The sequence below is a fragment of the Homo sapiens genome, chromosome 16 (assembly GCF_000001405.40).
Source record: "Homo sapiens chromosome 16, GRCh38.p14 Primary Assembly".
NCBI lineage: Eukaryota > Metazoa > Chordata > Mammalia > Primates > Hominidae > Homo > Homo sapiens.
In genome coordinates, this window is record NC_000016.10 from 10,943,223 (window position 1) to 10,961,357 (window position 18,135).

At 46.7% G+C, this 18,135-nt stretch overlaps 1 protein-coding gene across 38 annotated transcripts in view, besides 4 other annotated features; it reads left to right on the plus strand.

Annotated features, from left to right (window-relative positions):
* Positions 955-1,134: an enhancer, noted in NCBI's record as "active region_10402". NCBI's record gives its function as "activates an Ori minimal core promoter by ATAC-STARR-seq in GM12878 lymphoblastoid cells {active_cell/tissue: GM12878}" and the evidence as "EXISTENCE:reporter gene assay evidence [ECO:0000049][PMID:35858748]".
* The window catches only part of CLEC16A (C-type lectin domain containing 16A), a 237,623-nt gene continuing 220,829 nt past the window's right edge, over positions 1,342-18,135 (plus strand). For all 38 annotated transcript variants that reach the window (NM_015226.3, XM_005255214.3, XM_011522434.3 and 35 more), the window contains exons 1-2: positions 1,342-1,575; positions 14,560-14,688. In NM_015226.3, the coding sequence (NP_056041.1) occupies positions 1,496-1,575; positions 14,560-14,688 (209 nt within the window). In that variant the 5' untranslated portion in view covers positions 1,342-1,495. The remainder of the gene's footprint in view (positions 1,576-14,559; positions 14,689-18,135) is intronic.
* Positions 1,355-1,414: an enhancer, noted in NCBI's record as "active region_10403". NCBI's record gives its function as "activates an Ori minimal core promoter by ATAC-STARR-seq in GM12878 lymphoblastoid cells {active_cell/tissue: GM12878}" and the evidence as "EXISTENCE:reporter gene assay evidence [ECO:0000049][PMID:35858748]".
* Positions 6,342-6,491: an enhancer, noted in NCBI's record as "active region_10404". NCBI's record gives its function as "activates an Ori minimal core promoter by ATAC-STARR-seq in GM12878 lymphoblastoid cells {active_cell/tissue: GM12878}" and the evidence as "EXISTENCE:reporter gene assay evidence [ECO:0000049][PMID:35858748]".
* Positions 10,756-10,825: an enhancer, noted in NCBI's record as "active region_10405". NCBI's record gives its function as "activates an Ori minimal core promoter by ATAC-STARR-seq in GM12878 lymphoblastoid cells {active_cell/tissue: GM12878}" and the evidence as "EXISTENCE:reporter gene assay evidence [ECO:0000049][PMID:35858748]".

Here is an 18,135-nt window from a genome sequence, read left to right on the forward strand (position 1 = left end):
TTTAAATCTCAGGCCACACTGAGCTGAGTATTTTACATGCATCGCTTAATCGGAGGTATACAAGGCAGTGTAGTATGTATGTGCGTACTTTTTACAGATGAAAAATACGAGCCCAGGGATCCTACATTTCTGAGCCTGGGTGTGTTTCTTTGGAGGCCAGATCCTGTTCTTTTTTGCTCCATGACTTTGTCTTGCCCCACTCTATATGAATTACAGGACAAACCATTAACTCTCCACTCTTATCCATTTCTCCAACTGCTGAAGGTGAAACAAACCTTTACTCATTCATGCACTCTACCAATATTTGTTAAACACCTGCTATGTGCCAAACCTTGTGCTAGGCACTGGGGAGAACATTGGCCTCTGGCCCAGTTCTTTCTTGAGCAGAGTTAATGGGACACAGTGGACCTTTAATAAGGTTGATATGTAGAAGTGACTGAATGAATGAATGGATGGTAAACTTGAGAAGTCTTGCCCACACTGAACTTACCACTTCTAATCCAGGGTAGAAGTTAGATATATTCTGGCTCATGCAGAAAGTTGGGTGTTTCCTTTTTCATTTTAACGTGGTACTTTGGGAAATAGCATGGATTCTGGCTGAAGACCAGAGGAATCCTCTGGAAGTACAAAATGTTCAGTTTGGTGCATTGTTGCATCCAGCCTTTTCCAACACACACACACACACACACACACACACACACACACACACACACACACACACACACTTAATTGAAGTGGAAAAAGAAAAAGGCTGTCAGGACAAATAAGGTTGTTATCTAGTGCCGTTTTGGTTTATAAAGGGAATGAAAAATAAGGGTGCGTGCGTGGTTATGAACCCTGGTTTTGCCACTTGTTAACTGCATGATCTTGGGTAAGTCAACCTCTCAGTGACTCCGTTTCCCTGATGATAAAATAGGTTCGATAATAGTACCCAATTCATAGGATGGTTGTGAAAATTAAATACCTTAATATGTAAAGCCCTTAGGATAGTGGCTTTGCATAGTATACACCATCCAATACTATTCTTATTCTTATTATAAATCTAGTAATTGTTACTACAGTGGTGACTTTCCTTGACCCATCTACGCCGATTCCCTCTCCGGGACTGCGCCCAAAGCTTCCAATTCCCGCCCACCCGGAGGATTCTGCGGTCGCTCCTCCTCTCGCCCCGCCTTTTGTGGATGGCCGTAGGCCCGCGGTTGCACGATGCATGCCGGGCCTTGTAGTCCGTTCGCGGAGTCCTGCCGCCGAAGGCCACGCGGGTGAACTGCATTTCCCAGCGCCCCACGCGGCGGCGGCCGTAAAGCGCGGCGGTCGAACGGCCGGTTCCGGCTGAATGTCAGTGCTGGGCTGTGGGCCGGGGAGGAAGGCGGCTCGCGGTTCCTCCACCGCCTCCGCCGCCGCATCCTCCGCTTGTGCTACCGCCGCGGGCGCTGGGCCGCTCTGCTGGTCCGGCATGAGACCGTGAGACGAGAGACGGGTCGGGGCCGCCGACATGTTTGGCCGCTCGCGGAGCTGGGTGGGCGGGGGCCATGGCAAGACTTCCCGCAACATCCACTCCTTGGACCACCTCAAGTGAGTGTGGGGGGCGTAGCGGGAGGCCTCGGGGCTGGACAGGGGGACGGGGCGCCGAGCTCCGGGTCGGGGCTCTAGGAGGCGTGAGAGCGGCGGCGAAGGGCGCCCGGGGAAGCCCGTGTGGTGGTTAAGAGCGAGGGCTCGGGAGTCAGGGCGCCTGGGTTCGAACCCTGACCCCGTCGCTCTTGGCTGTGTGACCTTGGACAAGTCGCTTAATTTCTCAGAGTCTCCGTATCCCCACCTGTAAAGCGAGAGGATGCGATTTCAGTTTATGGACACAGACTTTGTTCTTGACGGTGTCCACCAAGTTTCCTGGCGGGGTACTTCTTAAACTGAACAGCTTAGAGGGTCAAAGGCCTGGGTCCTGGAGTCGGGCAGATCTGGGTCCGAATCTATCTGTGTGAATGTAGGCCTCAGGTTCCCCACTTGTAAAAAGAGTAGAGTGACAGCACCTGCTTCCTGCTATTGTGTTGAGAGTTGGTTGGATAAGAGAATGAACGTTAAGCTCAGAACACGTACAATTGCTCATTAAACGGCATTAATTATTATAAAAGAACAGATTATTTTCCGAGGGGAGTCTAAGCTGGGGGCATGCACGCTGAGACCCAGGATTTTGGGGCGATTGGGGAGGATGATGAAAAATAGAGACCTCTGAGGAGGGAATGACTCTACAGCTCTGGGGGAGGACAGGTGGCAGATAGGGTCTTGGGACCAGGAGTGCAGAAATTAAGAGGCTGGCTTTGCAGCCACACCTGCGTTCAAATCCTGAAACCACCATTTACTGGCTGTGTGACCTTGGGCAAATTACTTCACCTCTCTGAGCCTCCAGATTCCCATTTGCAAATGGGGATCGTGAACATTGTAATGGAAATGGAAGGTGACTGACCCAGTAGGTACATAGTAGGTGGCCAGTAGTGGTAGCTGTGTTTATTATCAGCTCAGCGAGGCCTTCCCAGACCACCCTACCTAACGTGCTCCCCCCATCCCAGTTCCTATCCATCACATCTTTCTCTTGCTTTCATTGAGTGCTTCTCCACTCTCTGCGATTATTCTTTATTTTTTATTTATACTTATTTTCTGTCTTCTGTTAAACTGGCACTTCACGAGGGCACAGACTGCTTGGTTTGTTCACAGTTGTATTCCCAGCATCTAGGACTGCTCTCTGCTTACTTAAAGAGTGGAAAAATGAATGATTGAATTGGGGAGAGATGAAGAGCATGCAGGCCAGGACCCAGGATTTGGGGGCAGGTGTGGAGGATGATGAAAAATAGAGATCTGTATGAAGGGAAAGGCTTTAGGGAGGGAAATGGCGGGGATGCTGAAGAGGGGAGTAGACAAATCTTCAGTGTCAAGAAATAGGCAGGTTTCCAGAAGGAGATCCTGAGACTACTAATGGGAAAGGAGGAAGATAGGGTTAGGGATATGGTGGGAAGTAGTGGAAGGGAGACGGGGCTGTGGAAAGGATTGGTGGGAGGGAATTAGATAGGGACTTCTCATGTGTCCCCGGGAGTGGGGTAGGGGTAGTGGCAGGGCCACAGTTCTCAGCTGTGACCTTTCTAGCATGGAGCAGCATTTAGTAAACGTTTGTGAGTCTTGAAGAGTGGGGAGCAGGAGGGTTCACTATGTGGTGAGGGGCACTTTTAGAGCAGGAGGTGGTGAGAGAAGACAAGGGGAGGAAAGAGGCCCAGGACAAGTCTGGGGTGGGTAGGGAGGTGGGGATCTTAGATGGGAGGGCAGCTGGCCGGGAAAGGGAGTGGTTGAAGGATTTCAGGAATTTATCGAGTGGGCGGAGGTGGCTGAGGAGGGGAGGGGAGTTATCCAGAGGAGGTTGGGCCTCCTGCCGGCATCCAGGTACCTCCAGGTTCTCACCTAACTCTGCTTAACTCTAGCCCTTTTAAATTACCTTAATTTATTAATTTATCGAATGCATTATTCTGTACCAGGTATTTGCTAAGGACTGCCTGTGTGTTAATTCCCTTAGTCCTCACAAGTCTGAGTTACAGGAACCATTATTGTTTCCATTTTACGGAAGTGGAAACTAAGGTTCAGGGGGCTTCAGTGACTTGCCCCCAGGTGTCAGCAGCTGAAGGGTACCAGAGGCAGGATTTGACTCCCGAGCTTGTGCTCATTATACTGTCTTTCTGAATAAAACTTCCCAATAAGTCTGTTTGAGAACACTTTTGACTTGGCTGAGTCTCATCGCCAATGGGGCATCTTTGCCAGCCAGCAGGGAATGGTAAACGGTCTCTGGTTCCTTTGCAGTATCCTGGGAACTGCCTGGGTTCATTGTTTAGATCACATGTCTATCGGATGCTTCTTTGGAAACCCAAGTTGCCTGCCCTGAATCAGGCAGATCAGCTTAATCCATATTACAGCCCCAAGAACCTGAGATTTGTGTATTGGTGGGGGGGTTAGAAGATCCCCCAGTGACTTGGAAAAGAGTTTTGTAAACAGCCAGTGCCCACCCTGGGGCTTGTGCCACTCTGCATTTGGCTCTGTTGGTAAACATCTTGGGTCTTGGGTACAGAACAGCTCGTTCCCTGAGGGAGTTTGCAGGCTGGTGGGGGAGACAGCTGTAGAGCCAGTGACTGTACAGTGTGATAAGTGCTGAGATCGCCATGGACCCAGGGTTCTGTGGGAACCCTTATTGGGAGCTTTCTGGAGGAGACAACACCAGCGCGGGTTCTCCAAGAATGAACAGAAGCCACCATTGGCGGGCAGCAGGGGCGGGAGGCGGAGCACTGTGACCAGGACCCTGCGGGTTTTGTGGCATGTCCAGGTGGGGGCTGATAGCTGTGGGAAACAAGGCTGGAAGTAGGAAGGGGCTTGGGATTTATCTGACACTTCGGGTGACCAACCGTCCTGGTTTGCCTGGGCTGAGGGGTTTCCCAGGATATGGGACTTTCAGTGCTAAAACTGGGAAAGTCCTGGACAAACTAGTATAAACTGGTCACCCTACCAGTGACAAGTGACAGTTCTTAATACACTCTTACCTTGACCTAGAGCAGTATGGATGGAGAGGGAAAGTTTAAGATAGTTAAAAGAATTATTTATTTATTATTATTATTTTTTAAATACACAAGGCATCTGGAAACCCTCTTCTTTTTTTTTTTGAGATAAGAGTCTTGCTCTGTTGCCCAGGCTGGAGTGCAGTGGCACGATCTTGGCTCACTGCAAGCTCCGCCTCCCGGGTTCACGCCATTCTCCTGCCTCAGCCTCCAGAGTAGCTGGGACTACAGGCGCCCGCCACCACGCCCAGCTAATTTTTTGTATTTTTAGTAGAGACGGGGTTTCACCGTGTTAGCCAGGATGGTCTCGATCTCCTGACCTTGTGATCTGCCCTCCTTGACCTCCCAAAGTGCTGGGATTACAGGCATGAGCCACTGCACCCGGCCTAGACTTTACTTTTTTAGAACAGTTTGAGATTTACAGAAAGGTTGAGAAGATAGCACAGAGAGCTGGAAACTGTTTTTAGCTTCATTATTCTTTGTAACACTCCCAGCTTGCAAACTGGAAAGGAATTTTCCTGTTAGGGTTTTACTTTTGCTAAATGGTAGAAAACTTCATACCTGTGGTCTCTGTCTGCTGAACTGAGTTAGTGATTTAGCTCAGGCAGATTGAAGTAGTCAAGAGGTTATTTGCTACACACCATGGGTGGTTTATTGTCCAGATTAGTGGCAAGGCTGTGACATTGACTGACAAATGTCCACCACCAAGCGGAAGCCTGAGTGATGGAATCGTTTGATTGCTACTGAAACATCATCTTTACCAGGGACTGCAAGTCTGCGGCTGGTAGAAATTGGTCGTTTTTGTATTGTGGCCTTCATTCTGGTCCACTTTGTGTGGGGGTCAAGATTTTTGGTTCCAGTGACAGAAACCCAGCTAGAATTGCCTTAAGCCTCAAATGGATTGAATAGCTCATGTCACTGAATGGTCTGTCCCCGCTAAACCATGGCTGAATCCAGGTGTTTGGAGCCGTCAGAAATCGGCCTTTTTCCACCTTTCAGCTCTACCTTTTTCCTGTTGGTGTCATTTTCAGGCAGGCTGCAGGCTTACATCATATCAGCTTAGCATTCCTGAGGAAAAAGAGAGCTTCTTTTCTCAATATTGCCAGCAGAAGTCCAGAATTGAGATTGAGTATCCCTGGACCAGCAAGGTCTCATGCCACCCCTGAACTGTCACTCTGGCCAAAGGTATAGGGGGATCTGATTGGCCATTCCTCACTCATATTCCCTTCCCTGGAGCAAGAGTGGGATTAGCTCCACTCAAGCTAGTGGAAAAGAATGAGAGAAAAGAGTGGTTCCCCATGGGAGAATCAGGGGTTATTGCCCAAAGAAGGCGGAGAATGGATCCATGGCAGGTAGACAGACGCACACCTACTCTTGGTGCTTTCAAGTTTTGGCTAAGGTGGCACTGACAGTGTTAGAGCTTGGGGTACAATATTGCCATGTTGATTTTCTTAAAATATCGTCTTCACCATGCCACATATTATGGGTCCTAGGCTCCCACTATGTCACGTCTAAGTTCTTCCAGGCCTTCCCACCATCTAGTTTGGGAGCACAGGGAGTTAGGAACATCCTTGTTAGGCAGACGCTGTTTAAATGGAGACCAACGGGGTGAGTCGTTGTTACCAGGCAGCGGGGTGTCAGGTGGAAGGAAGGATGTTTCAGGCAGAGGAAAAGGCATTTGAGAAAGCCTAGTGGGGCAAGGGGAGCAGTGCACATTGGCAGAACTCACGTGGTTCAGCAGGGGAGTGTTCACTGGGTGAAGAGGAAGTGAGGACCCAAGCTCAGAGCCATGCTTGGCAGTCTCCAGAGGCCAGGTCCCCTGGGGCCCTGTAAATCACTTTAAGGAATTCAGACTATGAGTGAGAACAGTAGGGAGCCACTGAAGGTTTTTTAACTACAGAAAGGCTGTGGTCTGGCTGAAGCTGGCAGAATGGATTGGATGAGGGGCAGACTGGAGGTGGGCCTCCACATGTGTTGGTGGGGCGGGGAGCAGGGGCTCTGCTGCCGTCCCCTGGTGAGTTACGGTAGCAGCTGCTGTCATCCAGGTGTATCTCCTGTTGGTGGTCCACTCACACACATACCTCGCCTGCCCACTTGAGGTCCCCTGCTCTTTTCCTCCTGCCCATCCAAATCCCTAGCTCTATCCCGAAAATGCCAGTTCTTCCCTAAAAATTGCCCTGGTGACTTCAGCCAACAAGAGTTTTGCTGTCTTCTCTAACTTCTTCTGTGCCTGTTCACACTGTCCCACACAGTTAACACATTATTATATACTTCTCATCGCCAAAGAGTGGGTCGGCTGTTAGCTCCTGTGCGTTCTTAAAGTTTCATCTCGGCCTTGAGTTAGACCCTCAGGAAGCTGGCCGGGGTTCCTGTCCTTTGGCTATCAGACATTGTCTTCCTTTGTTACATATCTTTTTTGTTGTTTTCTCCCAATTTGAACATAAGAATCATGAAAGCCTGTATGGCTTGTTCAGCTGGGTACTGGTATGCCAGCACAGGACGTGGCAGATAGTAAGCAATCAACAAATATTTGTCACAGGATGAACGAGAGGCAGACCTCTGTTTTCAGAAAAGGCCAGTCTTTTCCCAACAACTGCTTGTTCTCCCCAGTTTAGTCACAGCACCTGTGCCACAGCCATGACTTTCTCTAGGGCTAAAGCCCTAAAGAAAGCTAGGGTATAGCCCTGCCTATACCCTACACATCCCCGGCCCAGCCTCACTTGCCGGCCCTGTTTGACATCTTTGGGGGATGATTCACCAGGGGAAGCACAGCCTGTGAACACCTTCTCTAATCCTCTAGCCTGATTCCACCCTCCGTGAAGCTTCTCCTTGTCCTGCTGGCCAGAAGGCTGAACACTGACCAGATGGTGGTTTTCAGGGCACAGAGTGGGACACACTGGGGAACGTCTGCAGGGCCTCTGCCCGAGTGCTGAACAGGCCAGACAGATACAGGCTCTGTGTCTCCCATCCCTCTACCACACCTGAGACATTGTTATTTGGAGCTGTGTGGACATTGGGGGGTAAATTTCTAACCCCCAGACCTCCTATCATTCTGCTTATCCTTTCTCATGCCCCACCTTGCAAATGTACATTTCAAAATCTTGAAGGAGGAGCATCCTAATAAGCTCATTATGGTGCAAGGCATAGCACGTGCAGAAAATGCTGTCACTGAAATGAACTTGGACCTAGTATTCCTGTCTCTGAAATGGACTGAATTGCTAATTTTTGAAGGATATGGGGCATTATTAACTGTAGTGGTTTAACCTGTGAAATTAGTGACTCTTGAGAAAGCAGAGGCTATTGAGGCCAGATTTGTTTACGTCTGTCATCCTTGGTGATGCACCTCGAGTGTGTTGGTTACAGTTTCTCTTCTCCAGGCATTTCAAACTCTGAAGCTCATCTGTCGGTGGAGAGTTAGCTAACAGGCAAAGCTCGGATATTGAGACTGCATCTGCAGAGCTCCTGCTGGGGATATGAGAATACTGGCTCTTTTCCAGACAAATGGGAGTTAGAGCCTTTTATAAGGACTTTCCATAAGATCTGATAGTATTTTCATGCCTTTTTGGTTTATCTATTTGGTGTTTTTTTAATTTATTTTTTGTGTGTTAGGCATTCATAACCTCATGTAAATTCTTGGCCAATAAAATTGTTGCTTACTTCATTGTTTGCATTTCTGTAGTCCTAGAAGGGTTGTAATCATGGGGTCTGGAGTTCAGTCTGCCTGGTTGTAACCTAGGCACCTCCTGTGCTGCACCAGGGCCCTGGGCAGATGCCTCAGCTCCCAGAGCATCATCCCCAAAGGGTCGATTGTTTCTGGGATTAAACGAAGCACTCAGACAGAGACTGGCAGTAATAGGAAGCTTCATCTGTTTTACTGAGGTACATACATAGTTTGAGAAAACACGTTGTCATTCTAACAGTGGTTATCATTGTAAGAGAAACATTTTAATTTGCTGCCGTTAAGTAGCAAGGTAATTATTCTGTCCTTTGAAACTTTTCTGAGATAAAGACACAGCTTTCCATACAAAGATGGTCATAGCAACATTGTTATCACTCACACAATTAGGAATCTTAATGCCCTTCAAAAGAGTTGCTACTGTGCTTGTCCTTTCAGTGTCATACTGTGTAGCCATTACAGATATTTGCAAACAGTTGTCAATAACCAAAAAAAGTGCTTTTGTTTTAGCTGAGGTGGGAAATAAGATTGGCACTGAAATGGATAATGCAACATGACCTCAACTATGTAAATATCCATAGCAAAGAAAAAGACCCGAGGAAATAGATTGCAACTCCAGCAGCAGTCATCTCTAGGCACCACGGTTGCCGTTTCTCTTTCATTGTTGTCAAAGTTTCCTACTTCTCTAAAGTGAATGTTACATTTATAATCAGAAGGTTTTATTAAAATGGGCCGGGTGAGTTGGCTCACACCTGTAATCCCAGCACTTTGGGAAGCCGAGGCAGGCAGATCAGTTGAGGTCTGGAGTTCAAGACCAGCCTGGCCAACATGGCTAAACCCCATCTCTACTAAAAGTACAAAAATTAGCTGGGCATGGTGGCCTGCGCCTATAAACTCAGCTACCTGGGAATCTGAGGTAGGAGAATCGCCTGAACCTAAGAGGCGGAGGCCGCAGTGAGCCAAGATCACGCCACTGCACTCCAGCCTGATGACAGAGCAAGACTCCATCTCAGAAAATGACAACAACAACAAAAAGTTATTAAAATGTTTATATCTCTGAGGTGGTTGAATTACCTAATCTTCCAAAGCCCTGGAATTAGATACACCATTAAAACATTAAATCTTAATCCATTCAGCCTTTCCCCCCATTACATTCAAGCAAATGTATATTGAGCATCTCTTCCTAAAACACTGTGTAAAACGGTGTGCCAGGGCATTGTGGGACAGAAAGACGAGCAAGGTGAAGGTGTAACCCTCATTGAGCTTTGGAGCTTGCAGTCTACTGAGTATTTCTGTATACCAGCAAAAGACATTTAGAAAATGAATATTTGAAACAATATCATTTACAATAGCATAAAAAAATGTCGACTACCTAGCAGCAACTCTAACAATAGATCTGCAAGATTCCTGTCAAGTGAGCATGGAAACAAATGCTGTAAATATCAGAATGTTACACTATTGTAAATATGTCAGTTCTCTCCAAATTTAGCCATAGATGTAGGGCAAGTCTAAGAAAATTTTAGCACGTATTTTTGTGGAAATGAAGAAGGTGATTTTTGAATGTATATGGAGATTAAAAGGGCCAAGAATAGGCAATATTGAAAAACAGAAGGAAAGAAGTTGGAAGACTTAATTACTATATGGCAAGATTTACTGTAAAACTGCAGTAATCAGACAGTATGGTCTTGATACAAGGATAGACAAATAGATCAATGAAACTGGAGTATCCAGAATGAGACCCACATGGGTAGTCACCTGATTAATGACAATGGTGGCGCTGGAGTGCAGTAGAGAAGTGAGGGCCTTTTCTGTAAATGGTGCTGGGTCAAGTAGATTTCCATATAGAAAAACTTAATTTTGGCCAGTACCTCATATCCTACACAGAAATCAGTTCCAGATGTACTCAAAGTCAGAATGCGAAGAGTAAAACAGTAACTTTGTTAGAAGTAAAAAGCATTTCCTTATAACCTTGGGGTAGGTAAGAACCTCTTAAGCTTGATACAAGAAACACCATCCAAGGGAAAGATTAATAAATTGAACTACATTAAAATTAAGAACCTCTACTCATCTAAAGACCCAGTATAAAGGGAACGAAAAGGTAAGCCACCATCAGAGAAAGTATTTGCAATATTTATCTCCAGTAAAGGGTTTGTGGTCAGAGTATATAAAGAAAAGCAAGAAAAAGCCACACAGCCTAATTTTAAAAATGGGCAGGCTAGGCGCGGTGGCTCACGCCTGTAATCCAAACACTTTGGGAGGCTGAGGTACGTGGATCACGAGGTCAGGAGATCGAGACCATCCTGGCTAATACAGTGAAACCCCATGTCTACTAAAAATACAAAACAATTAGCCGAGCGTGCTGGCGGGCGCCTGTAGTCCCAGCTATTCGGAAGGCTGAGGCAGGGAAATGGCGTGAACCCAGGAGGCAGAGCTTGCAGTGAGTGGAGATCGCACCACTGCACTCCAGCCTGGGCGACAGAGCAAGACTCCGTCTCAAAAAAAAAAAAATGGGCAAAAGACTTGCACAGGCACCTCACAAAAGAAGATATTCAAACAGTCCATAAACATATATGAACAGGCACCCGGTTTCACTACTGGAAGAAAGCCCCCACGCAATATCACTGCATACCCAGCAGATGGCGCCACCGACCAGGGCAAAGAACACCAAGTATTGAGAGGCCAAGAAACAAATGGAGTTCTCAGACCTTTCTTCCTGGCCACAGGTCTGTGGGCGAGCTACTGAACGTCGCCAAACCTCACTTGCTGTCTTGTCCTGTGCAGTGGCAACAGTGTGCACATCTTCAGGTTACTGTGAGTCTGTAGGTCACATGAAGCCCTCGCAGAGAACCAGGCACGTGGGGGCTCCTAGAATCTTTTTTTCAGGACTTACCGCCCTGCCCTCTCTGCCTATAAGGGCCTTCTGGTAGTTACTAGGTCTTTTTCCCCCAGAAATTATTTAATAAGGGCAACAATAACAATAGCTAGCACTTGTATCATACATAGTAACTGCCAAGTTAGTTATCTGTTATCTCCCAACACCACCAAAATAGGTAGATACTAAAGTATTCAGGTACCATTGCTGTTTACATTTTACTGGTGAGACAACTGAGGTGCACAGAGGGAAAGTAACCTGCTCAGGATCACCCAGCTAATAAGTGATGGAGGTGTGCTCAGACCCAGGCATTCCAGTGTCTGTGATTAACCCTATGTTCTAATTATACCAGTGTTTGTAATTAACCATATACTCTAGTGCCTCTCAGGAAATACCAGACTTTCTCTACTTCCTGCTCTGGTTTCGCTGAACCTTCCCATCACGACTCCTGCCCTGAAGCCCTCTTTCCCTGTTTGAATCTAGCCTGATCTCTTTTCTACCTTCCTGGAATATTCCTTAGATAATGTAGTAATAATGTGAATAACGGCCCCCACCACAATGACCATAATCTAATCACCATGGCAGCCAAGCCTGCTTCTGTTGAGCCCTTGCTCTGTGCCAGGCGCTGTGCTTGGCTCTTTCTGTGCATGGTCACGTTGCCTCTCTGGAACAACCCAGTGAGGAAGCCTTGACTGTTCCCACCACTGTGTAGAATCTGAGCTGCAGAGAGGTGAAGCGCCTTGTCCAAGGCCACAGTTAGGAGGTGGCAGGGCCAAAGGTCAAGCCCAAGTCTGTCTGCCAGACTCCGAAGCCTGACCTCTTCACCAGAGCTCTGTGCTGTCACTTGCCGTGTCTGGCGTTTGGATCCCTGGCTATGTTCAGTCGTGTATGCTTTGATCTAAGTTATGTTTACAAAGACCATCCCCTGCCCCATTCAGCATTTATTGAACACCTGCTGTGTATCAGACATTTGGAGTGTATTGGGGTCAGCAAGATCAATAAGGTGATGGTGCTGACCTTGAGGAGCTCAGGTCTAGTATGGGAGGCAGATCTTTGCAAATGAGGGTGGGCTGTGCAGTAGCAAATATGTGTGGGTACAGAGGTGCCAGTGAGGAGGGAACAATTAAATCCACCTGGGAGGGGGGCATGGGGAACGCTTTACCAAGAGATGCCCGAGCTGGGTTTTGAAATGTAAAAGTTTGCTGGATGACAAGGACAGCAAGGGCATTCTAAGCAGAAAGCCCCATCAATTGAAGTCATGTGGTCCTAAAGAATTTAAAATTTCTTCTTCTTGTTGGGGATCTTCAGAGCAGACCCACCCACCTAAGCCACCGTCTCCCATTGACCAGGAGTATGATGTGTGATGCTAATAGATGTACACAGAAGAGAGGAGGGAGAATCTGCCCTTCTCCCATATTGCCAACGATGTCTTGTCACTGGCAGGGTGTCAGGCACATGGGGGCCTGCGTGGAGAGTGTCACTGATGGCCACAGCTGGAGTGGTGCGGTGACTGTCAGACTTCAGTGGGATTGGGGCCCTGCACCAAAAGTCCAATTCAATGGGTCTGGGACAACTTACAAAGGTGATTCTGATGCAGGATGCCTGGGAACTGCAGTTTGGAAAACTCTGCCGTTTGAAACTCTTGGGGAAGATGCACTTGAGGCAAGATGAAGATGTAGATTTGGGAGTGGGTCCTCCAATGATTCATCCCAGGGTGGTTCAAGTGCTGTTTGAGTTACCTAATTATAGAGGGAAACTGGGCCCATGCCCCCTCCCGCAGCCTTTTGGTAGATTTGGGTACAAGTGGTTGAGGATTTGTGTTTTTTGAGGGCTCTTCTAATTACTGCATATTAAAAATTACATGCAATTTCTAATAAATTAATTAAATGCTTGATTATACTAGGTCTTTAAAGCATAACAAACAGTATTCGTAAATAAACCCTAGCCCCTTTAAATAGCAGATTGTTCTTTATTGTTTCATCTTCAGGCTGCTTCCTCTTTATGTCTTACCCGTTTTTAGAGATTGTAGATGGGACAATCCTATCTAGACGTTTCCTTCCTTGCTCTCACCAGACCCCCAGCCCTGAAAACTGAAGTTAGCCATAAAAGAAATCAGGAGAGGAGGGCCCTTTTCCTGAGTCACTTCCTCTTGGTGTCTGCTTTTCCTTCTCAAGCCTGAGCTCCCTTGACAGGTGAAGTTACCTGGGGCTGTGGGCCCTGGAGAAGCCATCTTAAAAGCCGTGCCCGGTGGCACTCCCAGGGCATCCAGCTAGGCTTCTGGTCCCCGCGCTGCTCAGGACTGGCCTCGGTGATTCTTTTGGTCTCCCCCACCAGCAAAGAGGCCTTGAGGACTGGAAGGTGTCTACCTGTCTCAGCTCCAGCACCTGGCATTCAGGCCTGTTTGGGTAGATGAAGTACAGCACCATAGCCTCTGCAGCCCTTATTTATTTATTTATTTATTTATTTAGACTCTCGCTCTGTCACCCAGGCTGGAGTGCAATGGTGTGATCTCGGCTCACTGCAACCTCCACCTCCCAGGTTCAAGCAATTCTCCCTGCCTCAGCTTCCAGAGTAGCTGGGATTACAGACTTCGCCACCACACCCAGCTAATGTTTGTATTTTTAGTAGAGACAGGGTTTCGCCATGTTGACCAGGCTGGTCTTGAGCTCCTGACCTCAGGTGATCCACCCACCTTGGCCTCCCAAAGTGCTGGGATTACAGGCATGAGCCACCGCTCCCAGCCAGCCCATTTAACTCAGTGAATTTAACAATCTGTTCTCAGCAAATAAGACCATTGCCCTTGGGCTGCAAACCACCCAGATCATTTGAGCCATAAGTTCTGATGGGCTCACTGCACTTGAGAAGGATTGTGAGCATTCCAAGGGGAATTGCATGTGATTTTTGTCCCAGCAACTGCTGTGGGACCCAGCCTTCCTAAGCTGTGGCTCCATCTCTCTAAACCTCAACATTAGCCTGGCTGCAGGCCCCGTGTTAGGCATCCAGCCTGAGCTGTATGTCCCCACTTGCTCTGAAGGCATCAACATGATGGGAAGCATATGAAACAGGTGGCTACTTGCTCTTCTCTCAGTCCTGCTGAATCTGAATTTCCGAGGGGGCTCCAGGAGCCCCCACTTGATTCAGTTCTCCGGGTGGTTCTCTTGCACACTGCAGTTTGAGAGTAGTTGACTTCAAGGGTTTGACGATTTTCTTGTCTCCGTCTGGGTTGGTGTGTCCTTGGTTTAACCCTTCAAAGCATTGTCTGCTATTTTTCTGGGGTTGTGAGTTACATCTAATCTGAATGGGAAATTGCATTACCCAAACCTGAAAAAGCATTGCTGCATTGTCTCCAAAATATTGCTAATGGTCATGGAACTTGGCTTGCATTTCAGTTGGTAACCTTTAATTTCCTTTTCTCTCATTTCTCTCAGGTATCTGTACCACGTTTTGACCAAAAACACCACAGTCACAGAACAGAACCGGAACCTGCTAGTGGAGACCATCCGTTCCATCACTGAGATCCTGATCTGGGGAGATCAAAATGACAGCTCTGTATTTGAGTAAGGGTTTCTAATGATTGCTGTTCTTTGATTATTCTTCTTTGAATGTTTTTCTAAATGTATACTATGAGTCATTCTGGATGATGTCAGGATTTGACGCTAATTTGATCTTGCCTAGATATCTATCTCTGTCTAGCTGTAAAAAAAAAAAAAAAATGCCCTTGAAGCACTATAGAAATGCAAGCCAAAAATGGGGAAGTTATGGAAATGAGTGTCTCTAGAAAACCTGAAAATGTCATGGGTAATTTTCCTTCAGGTTGTGTCTGATTATTTTCCCAAAGGAAGGAGAACATGTCTGGTGGTTAGATTTGACATGAACAGAAGGCCTGTGCCCTGGGGGAGTCCCTGAGGGCTCCCAGTTACCATGTTTACTGATGACCAGGCACAGGGCTGAGCTCCTGATGAGATGGTCCACCTAAGTTTCCCACCCACCCCATGGTAGAGGCCCTGTTGGTGTCCCCTTTTTTGCTCAAGGTCACATAGCTGGTAAGCGGTGGAAAAGTGACACACCCAGAATCAGTGAGGGGTCCCGCAACTCACCACTTCCTAGGTGAGCAGTCCTCAGCCAGGCTCTTCATCTCCCTAAGCCTCAGTTTCTTTACCTTTAAAAGAGAGAGAAAAAGTTCTCTTTGTCTAGTGCCTGGTACAGGAATAAATGATAGCAAATGATAAAGACAGACGTGCCTCACTGGACAGTTAAAAAGCAAGGGCCGCCAGGCGCGGTGGCTCACACCTGTAATCCCAGCACTTTGGGAGGCTGAGGCAGGAGGATCGCTTGAGCCCAGGAGTTTGAGACCAGCCTGGGCAACATACAGAGACCTCGTCTCTACGTATAATTAAAAAATTAGTCATGCATGGTTGTGTGTGCCTGTGTTCCCAGCTACTCAGAAGGTTGAGGTGGGAGGATTGCCTGAGCCCAGGAGGTCCAGGCTGCAATGAGCCATGATCTTGCCACTGCACTCCAGCCTGGGTGACAGAGTGAGACCATGTCTCAAAAAAAAAATAGCAAGGGCTGTTAACTGTGAACTACCTCCCTAATAGATCTGCCTTGATGTCTTAGTGCAGAAGGATTTGGGGCTGGGTTATGACAACCACTAAACACGGGTGTGTGTGTGTGTGTGTGTGTGTGTGTGTGTGTGTGTCTGTATTATAAATATTGAGGCCACTTTTAAAACTCATTTTTGAAAAGTAAAAGTGTTCTATTTTTAACCTGGTTTCTTATTAGATATCCGAATAAGAAGGATATTACCTTTTCATGGATTCAGACAGAATTAGGCAGCACTGAGCAAGTTCCTGAATATAGGTTCAGGGTAGCTTTATATTTTCATCAGCAAGGTTATCCAATAAAGCTACTTGTGGAAATGCAGACTCTTTAAAATGCAAACCTGTAAACAGTGGCTATGATCTCCAAAGCAGAACATGCGAGTCATGAATTTGTGTTTATATACAGACCTAGTTCCTTTAAGGATCCATGGGGAATTTTGTTTTTTTTGTTTTGTGAGATGGAGTCTTGCTCTGTCATCCAGGCTGGAGTGCATTGGCGGGATCCCGGCTCACCGCAACCTCTGCCTCCCAGTTTCAAGCAATTCTCCTACCTCAGCCTCTGGAGTAGTTGGGATTACAGGCATGCACCACCACGTGGGGCTAATTTTTGTATTTTTAGTAGAGATGGTGTTTCGCCATGTTGGCCAGGCTGGTCTCAAACTCCTGACCTCAGGTGATCCACCAGCCTCAGGTTCCCTAAGTGCTGGGATTACAGGCATGAGCCACCGTGCCCAGCTGGAATTTTTTTTTTTTAAATATCTTTTTGGAAATCAAAAAGACCCTTGGGTTAAAGATGAGAAACTGTGTCCCCCTTGACTAGAATGGACTTATTTTTTTTTTTAGAGACAGGGTCTTGCTGTGTTGCCAGGGCTGGTCTCAAACTCCTGAGCTCAAACGATTCTTCCTCCTCAGCCTCCCAACATGCTGGGATTACAGGCATGAGCTACTGCACCCTGCCTAGAACGGACGTGTCATTCTAGGTCCCAAGATGACACCCTGTCCATCTGTCATCTTAGAAAAGCTGCTGAGCTCTTAGGGTCTCCATGATTCTTAAACAGTTATCCAACAAAGTCCCTAAGAAAATTTTGTTTTTACTACATTTTAAAATTTTGGAATAATTTTAGATTTATAAAATAGTTTCGAAGATAGTATAGAATGTTCCCATTGTAAGTGTCTTACATTACTGGGGTGAATTGGGCAAAACTAAGAAACTGACATTGGTACAGTATTGTTGAGTCAACTTCAGCCCTCATTTGGATTTTGCCAGTTTTTCATTAATATCTCCTTTCTGTCCTAGCATCCCATCCATGTTCCCATAGTACATTTTGTTGTCGTATATCCCCAGCCTCTGATCTGTGACTCTTTTTTAGTCTTCCATTGTTTTTGCCACCCTGAAAGTTTTGAGAAATGCTAGCCAGGTCTCCTGTGGAATGTCTCCCAATCTGGGTTTGTCTCATGTTTTTCTCATGATTAAACTGGCAGTTAAGGGGAAGAAAGCTATAGGAGTAAAGTTCCCCTCTCTTGCCATCATCACAAGGCATTCACAATATCCACATGACATCCTGGTGATGTTACCTTTATCACCTGGTTAAGGTGCTGTCTGCCAGGTTTCTCTACTATAAAGCTACTGTCTTCTCCTTTCCCCACACTGTTCTTTAGAAGAGAGTCACCAAGTCTACCCCACGTTTTCATGATGAGGGGGTGGGGGTTAAGGTCTACCTTCTAGAAGGGGGCAGTATCTACATGTATTATTTGAAATTCTTCTGCATGGAAGATTCATCTCTTCTCTCTCATTTATGCAGTCATTTGCTTATATTAATATGGACTCGTGGATATTTATTTATACTTTGGGCTATAATTCAGTATGTTGTTATTTTATTGCTCAAGTTGTTTCAGCCTTGGCTATTAGGAGCTCTTTCAGGCTGGTTCTTGTATCCCCTCGATATGCTCTCTTCCTTTTGTTTTTTGAGCACTTCTTACTTCCTGGTACTGTAAAATGCTCCAGTCCTACAATCACCCTTTTTTCCCAATGAATTGCCCACTCCCCTATGGAGTTTTAAAAAATCTAGGTTCATGGATTTTATGCTAGACCTACCCTGTCAATCCCCGGGGCAAGATCTAGGTACAGGCATTTTAACAAGTTCCCAAGTTGGTCACAGTGCGGCAGTGAGTTTGCTGGTGGCCCTTAGGAGTCACTGATTTATGCAGCTTGAACTGAAGGTAGACAAAAATAGGCCAAATGACAGAAATACTCTGGAGGTCAACATGAATGGCATTTACAGGCAGATGGGCCTCCGAGTTGGAGAAGATTGTAAGGGTCTTTTTTAGGCCATTTAAATTTTTTCATTTATCCGTTCATGGATTCAGACAGAATCAGGCAGCACTGAGTAAGTTCCAGGCCCA